Source organism: Homo sapiens, chromosome X (assembly GCF_000001405.40).
Source record: "Homo sapiens chromosome X, GRCh38.p14 Primary Assembly".
Taxonomy (NCBI): Eukaryota; Metazoa; Chordata; class Mammalia; order Primates; family Hominidae; genus Homo; species Homo sapiens.
This window is the reverse complement of record NC_000023.11, coordinates 120999366-121007550: the sequence shown is the minus strand read 5'-3', so window position 1 is coordinate 121007550 and position 8185 is coordinate 120999366.

The following is an 8185-nucleotide window of genomic DNA, read 5'->3' as shown; positions in this document are numbered from 1 at the left end:
TGAGAGATCTGTTTTTCAGGTGACAATCAGCTGGGAGAGGCAAGGATAAAACAGACTGCATACAGTAAATAGCAGGAATTAGACATCAGGCAAAAAGCAAGTGGCAGCTATGTTCAATTAGCTTTTATTATTATATATATTTTAAAACTTTCAGTGTATGCATGGCATGGTTATCCATAACCCAATTTCCTCCTACAAACAGAGACTATGTTTTAAGGGTCAGAATGTAGCATCATTCAGATATAAAGGTAACAATCCTGGCCTTGCTTCAACAAAATGTAAATGCAGAGTTGTTTCTCCATAACAATCATCTCCACTTTCCCTCAACCATTGTGATTAAAGATACGCGTTTGAGAGGAAGCTGGTCAAATCAGTAGTGCAAGCTGTGGCTAAAGAATAAGATGTGTTGTGGTTTACATGCACATCCTTGACTTCATTAGCACAAATCTTTGTCCTCATCAGACCCATCTAAAGAATCACAAAATGCAAACAGAGGATTTGTCACTTTTTCTAGACAAATGATATTCAAGGAAAAAATTAAGGAGATCAGTGAGAGGCTGGAAAGAAAATGATCTTGAAATTAATAGGCAAATAAAGACTTTTCAAGAAAATGAAGAAATTGAAAGAAATCTTCGGAAATGAAAAAATAGGACTCATCCCATTCTAATACTCAGCTAACACAGAAAAGCAGTTCTCAGTGCTTGAGAGAACCAGTGAGGACCAGTGAAGATACACAAGTGACAAGTTATGTTGCCTATTCACAAGACTTGAGGGGAAAATTCAAAATTATCCATCAAAGGGAAGGTTATTTAAAGATCTCAGGGGTTGCTACTGCATTTTCTGCTCTTCTCTGGCTATATTCTTTTTTAAAATACCTCATCTAGCCCCACAGATATAAATACCATGTATACACCAATTATTCTCAAATTTATTTCTCCACCCCTGACTTTCCCCAGATCTGTATGCTCCACTGACTATTTAATTGCAATTCTCAAAGTAACCAATTAAAAAATAACTAAAATAATATACAAAAGGAAATGATGAGGGCATCAAAGGGTATAATAGGAAAAATACAGAAAAGAAGGCAGAATTGGAGAAATTGCAGAACAGAAGTTATATAAGCAATATAGAAAACAAATAGCAAAATGACAGAAATGAGTCCTTCCATATCAATAATCACTTTAAATGTAAATGAGTTAAACTCACCAATTAAAAGACACAGATTGGCAATGTGGATTAAGAAAAATGATTCAATGACATGTTTTCATTCATATACAGGAGCTAGAAAAGTTGATCTCATGGAGGTAAAAGGTAGAATGTTACCAGAGGCAAGGAAGCAGAGGAGGGATGAGGGGGGTTGGTTAATAGGTACAAACACACAGTTGAATAGAAGGAGTAATTTCTGGTGATCAGTGGCACAATAGGGTGACTATAGTTGACAATAATTTATTGTATATTTCTAAATACCTAGAAGAAGAGATTTGAATATTCCCAACATAGAGAAATGATGAATGTTTCAGGTGATGAATATTGTAAATACTCTGATTGATCATTACACATTATGTGCCTTTATCAAAATATCATATGTACCTCATAAACATGTTCAATTACTGTATATCAATTTATAAAATAAAAAATACTCTCTCTCAAAAAAGAGAAATGATTCATCTGTATGCTGTCTACAATAGACTCAGTTTAGACCCAAAGACACAAATAAGTTGAAAGTAAAAGAATGACAGCTACTCGGGAGGCTGAGACAGGAGAATGGTGTGAACCTGGGAGGCAGAGCTTGCAGTGAGCCGAAATCGCGCCACTGCACTCCAGCCTGGGCGACAGAGTGAGACTCCATCTCAAAAAAAAAAAAAAAAAAAAAGAATGAAATAAAATATATTCCATGCAAACAGTAAATAAACAGAAGAGAGCTTAAGTGGCTATATTAATAAACAAAATGGATATTTAGCCAAAAACTGTTACAAGGGACAAAAAAGAGATTATATACTAATAAATGAATCAAGAAGATATAACAATTATAGATATAAGTGTACCAACAAAAGGGCCCCAAAATACATGAAGCAATTATTGACAGAATTGAAAAGATAAACAGATAATAATACTTGGTTCTACCATAATACTTGGAGGCTTCAATGTCTCATTTTCAATAATGGATAGAACATCTAGACAGAAGATCAATTTAAAAATACAGGACTTAAACAACACTATAGACCAAATATCCAACAGACAGATAGACATTCTACCAAACAATAGTAGAATACATATTCTTCTCAAGTGCATGTAAAATATTCTTCAAAATTTATTGCATGTTAGGATACAAAACAAATCCCAGTAAATTTTAAAATATTGTAATCATACAAAGCATCTTGTCTGACAGCAAAGGGATGACACCAGAAATCAATAACAGAAAGAATATTGGAGAATTCATAAATATGTGAAAATTAAACAACATATTCTTAAACAACTGTGCAAATTAATCATATAAATTTGGTCACTCTTGTCATACCCAACTAAAACAGAGTTGAGAGCTCAAGGGGAAAAAAGCACTCAGGGCACACAACATTGCTCCAAAAAATGTAATTCTTTGCAAGCCTGCTGTAACTTGAAATCAGTTTTATTTAATGGCTATTTAAAGAAACTTTTGCAACTCTAAGACTGGTTTTACCCACTGCTGTCACTCACCAATCAGAGTTTTCCAGCATCCCAAAACCTTACTAAGTGTCAACGAACTTTCCTGACAAGTAATACATAACATTTCTCTTTTTTTTTTTATAAAACCTCTAACCTTCTCTTTATTCTTTAGACATACCAGAGACCACGTACGTGGTCAGCACATATGCCCCAAATTGGGATTCTTTTTTCCCAAATAAAATGTTTTAATTTCAGAGATTTATCTCATATTTTATTTGATTTTGACATACTTGACAGAAGTGGGGTCCAAAGCTGTCTAACCTTGGAGAAAAATCACCAGCCCTTGGAACTACAGCATAAGGAACGCACACTGGGGCCCTATGATCCCCCCACTTCTGCAGATTGCCTCTTTTCCCCTTGGCAAGTCTCTCTTGCACTGAATTCCTGATTTGGGTTGAGTTCTGTTTTATTTAGGACTTGGATGGGGAGGGTTTTTTTCTCCTTTATGCCTGATCTACTTGGGAGAGCTACTATTCAAGAGTACTCTTCCCCTTGGAGACCCTGGCTTTGGAATCTGGGCTAAGGGATTTTTTTCCCCTTCAGGTTGAGACCTTGGTGAAGGGATCTTTCCTTTTCCCTTCAGTTGGAGAAGGCAACTTACCATTATTCTTGGTAAGCGTATACTTTATTTTCTGTCTGTGCTTGAGTTTATTTGGTCATTGAGTATTCAGCTCTTGCATTTAATTGGCTTTTGTGTATTTGGTATTAAATCAGAGCACTCACAAAATGGGCTCTCAAAATTCAAAGGCATGCCAAGATATTTTCTGGGACTCATGTTCAAATATTATAGGAATCATTCAGTCTGCTGTTCTTAAAACTAAACCAAAAGATCATGGCTATAAAAGCATATACTCCAAATAAGATACGCATATCTCACTGAGATCTGATAAAAGAGAGAAAATCATTCAGAACTCAAAGATTGTCTCATACAAAATACTGTCTCAAAGCTGGCTGAACTCTTTCCTCTCTGCAGTTTTCCCCTCCCCTTCTTAAAATTTCTCTTTATGCTTCTCTAAGATAAACTCTCTTTTTCCAAAACTCCTGAGCTATTCTAACATACTATTTAAGTAAAACACTTGAAAACCAGCAGGTATAAAAAAATCATTTTGATCTTCATGCTGTTTCCTTTGCAAAAAAAAAAAAAGAAATTCCCATGTGAAGACAAATGTATCCTATACTAAGGGGAATGGCAACATTCTTATCTTCAAGGACAAAGAATTGAGACCAAAAAATAATACTGTATAGACTCTGTTAGAATAACTCTTATCTTTTGGGCCTCCTCCCATAATTCAGTCACATTTTCACAGTTAACTGTCCTTTGTCCAATCCAGTATATTGGTAACTGACTCAAACTGCTTTACCCAAATTTTGGTTCACAGCCTTTATAAGACTGCCATTTTTAAAAATCTTAAAGTTTAGCCTTGTCACATTTCATCAGATAAATGATTTGGATCCAACAGATTTCCATAAACTGATGAGTTGATGTATTTTACTATCTCATGACTAGAATTCTAAAATAAATGCTATGAGATTTTTATTTATATGTATATGTATTTAGGTGTGTTTATACATATATACATGCATTATGCTGTATGTTGTGTCTACATAATAAAATCTGGTGTAGTTAGCCAAAATCCCTAAAAGAATGTTATTCCAATTGGTTTAAATAAATGAGTACTCATAAAATATATAGTAATTAAACCAATTTTTTTAAGTTCACATGACTTAAGTAAATCTTTAACAAATAGTTTGGATTTAAAATTATTGGTAAAACAGTCTTCAAAATTGTTAGTGTACACTTTTTCCTGGGTTTACAATTCAGACAGTCTTATAAACTTCACGAATATTTTAAAGTGTCAGGGTTTGACATAAAGGTCATAAAGCTATAAAATCAGCCTAAAACAGAATGATCTTTGCATACTTTTTTGATAAATATTCTTAAATTTAATATTGTTGATTTAATAAAAACAGTTGCATCTCCTGAGATAACAATAAGATATCCACGTATTTAACTCTGAAGTTTATAGCCTACTAAACCAGGCAAACACCTGATTAAATACATGGATAACCAAGTTTATAGCCTATTAAGTCAGGTAATAGGCTATAAACTTGGTTAGTAAAAAAAACTTGAAAGAAATAACTAGCTCCATCTAATATCTAAGTTTTCATAGGCAATCTATATATAATTGTTAAATTAGATAACTGTAAATGGAATAAATGTTTATAAATGAACTTTTCATGTAATTTAAAATCTTAAAGTTATGTTGTTTTAAATTGAAAAATAATACTCATTAAATGTCTGGATCATTTACAATTAAGGGAAATTTTATGTTATAATGAAACATGTTTCTAAAAATTATAAAATTGTTCTCATCTATAAAATACAAATGCATGACAGATAACTCAAAATTTCTTACTTCCTAGGTTTCCACTAAAATTTAAAGTTACCAAGAGTTGAAAATTCTAATTAATATATAAAATTCTGTATGTAAAGTGTGCCAAAAAGAGATGTTTTTAAAAGAAAAAAAGTGTGACAGGAATAAAAATGTTCATTATTGAGAAAAAGAAAATTTTGTGTAAGAAAAAATCTTGTGGTAAATATTTTTGTGTGAAAATTAAATGACTGGTTATTTAAGGAAGAGGAAATATGAGACAGAGCGGATAGTCCAACCATGTTTTCAAAGTTCTGAGTAACATCGTAATAAGATTTGTGTAAAGAAAATGTATAAGGCCGGGCGCGGTGGCTCACGCCTGTAATCCCAGCACTTTGGGAGGCCAAGGCGGGCGGATCACGAGGTCAGGAGATCGAGACCATCCTGGCTAACATGGTAAAACCCCGTCTCTACTAAAAATACAAAAAATTAGCCAGGCGTGGTGGCGGGCGCCTGTAGTCCCAGCTGCTCGAGAGGCTGAGGCAGGAGAATGGCGTGAACCCGGGAGACGGAGCTTGCAGTGAGCCAAGATTGCACCACTGCACTCCAGCCTGGGTGACAGAGCGAGACTGTGCCTCAAAAAATAAAATAAAATAAAATAAAAATTTATAAAAAGAATTTTGTATGTGATCAAGTTGGCTATAATTAAAATAATTTATGAAGTCTTTCTTCTTTTTTTTTTTTTTTTTTTAGAGACGGAGTCTCGCTCTGTCGCCCAGGCTGGAGTGCAGTGGCGTGATCTCCGCTCACTGCAAGCTCCGCCTCCCGGGTTCACGCTATTCTCCTGCCTCAGCTTCGCGAGTAGCTGGGGGACTGCAGGCGCCCGCCACCACGCCCGGCTAATTTTTTTGTATTTTTAGTAGAGACAGGGTTCCACCGTGTTAGCCAGGATGGTCTCGACCTCCTGACCTTGTGATCCGCCCGCCTCAGCCTCCCAAAGTGCTGGGATTACAGGCATGAGCCACCGTGCTCGGCCTGAAAATACGCATAAAATGCCTGACTTCAAGTATTCCCAGCCCTACAGTAAATAAATAAATATTGTCACTTCCTGGAAGGCTTGGGGACCTTAAGACTGTAAACAAAATCTAAAATCTGCATTGGTTTGGCTTCTTAGCCTCAAGACGCTTGTAAATCTGAGAATCCTATGTGATTAATAAAGGAAAAAGTTATGTTTCCAAAGAGAAACTATAATATACTTATTATTAGATTAAAACCCTGTACACTGTTTTTGAGTTTTTGTTATATACCTATAGATTAGTCTACATCCTAAATTTTTCTGGGTTACTCCAATGCGACATTGTTCCAAAACATTACTGAAACGTAAACTGTTCTGTTTCTAAAGCCCTATAAGCTGAAACTAGATAAATTTTAAAGTGCTTGTCTTGTGCCTGATGTATAGGCCACACAGAAGGCTCACCAAGCTGCCTGATGCCATATCAAGAGACATTCAAACTGCAAACAAGGATAAGAGGTTGATATTTTCCATGCTGTAAACAACTTTTCTTAAGACATCAGAACAAGACTCCATATCATAATGAGACTCTTACCTCCCTTAATGATGCCTATTTGACTTGGCAGAATAATTCTGTAGTTAAGATTTCACAATCCGTAACCCATATAGGTAACTTGACAAAACCCAATCTAAGAAATCCTTTGAGTCCACCTAGTGGGTAACTTTGGCAATATCGCTAAGACAACTTTTTGTTCAAATTGTACTGGTGACTCCTTTTGCAAAGCTGGCATTCTCTGCTTTAATTCAACCCAATCATAAAATACTACCGGTCTCAACGGGTCTCACCCAGTTTCCCCAATGGTCTATTGATTTGTTTAGTTTGTTGCCCTCAGGCTTGATGCTTAGTTCAAAATCACTGTACAAACTAAATTTTTTATATTGTTAATTGTTTATATTATGATTTTTAAACTTCATCCTCATTGCCTGACTAATCTGTGTAAAGCCAATTCTCCTAACAGGATAATGTTAGCTCAACACTTCAGGATGATTGCCGATGCCTAAAACTGATAAGATGGAATTCAATGCTGGACTCCAAACAAACCTACCCTGAGACTTTTTCTTCTGGCTTCTTTGTTACTTAAATACGTCCAAGATCCCTGACAGACACCTCCCATACCTTCCCCCTGACTTGGGACAGAGACAACCAGGATAGGCCCATCACAGAGCCAAGGGACGATTAAAACTAACTGCAAAATTGTTGATCATCCATGCTTTCACAGAAAGATCTTGATCGAAAGGGGGAAATGTGAAAGTCAATTATACAAATTGGGTCATTCTTATCATACCCAACTAAAACAGAGTTGAGAGGTCTGGGGAAGAAAGCATTCAGGGCACATAACGTGGTTTGAAAAATATAATTCTCAGCAAGTTGGCTGTTGAAACTGCCTGCTGTAACTTGAAACCAGTTTTATCTAATGGCTGCTGAAAAACCTTCTGCAACTCTAAGACTTGGTTTGCTCATTGCCATCACTCCCCAATCATAACTTGTCAGCTCCCCCAAACCTTACCAATTGCAATGAACTTTCTTGAAGAGCAATATGTAACATTGATCCTTTTTATAAAACCTCTAACCTTCTCTTTGTTCTTCAGATATAACAAAGACCATCCAGTTTGTGAGCGTGCCCCAAATTACGATTATTTCTTCCCAAATAAAATGTTTTAATTTCTCTATATTTTATTTGACTGTGACACAACCAATGGGTCAAGAAAGGAACCACAAGGGAAATCAGAGAATACTTTTATAAAAATGAAAATGAAAACACAGCATACCAAAAACTTGTAGAAGGAAGTAAAAGCAGTGCTATATATAGCTCTAAATGTTACAATAGAATACATTACAATAGAAGCTGTATCTCAAAATCAGTTACCTAATGTTACATATTAAAGACTAGAAAAATAAAAGTAAACTAAACCGAAAGCTAGCAGAATAAAGGAAATAAAATTTAGAGAAGAAATACATGAAATAGAGAACAGAAAACAAAACAGAATCACTGAAACCAAAAAGTTGGTTCATTGAAAAAATATCAACAAAACTGAC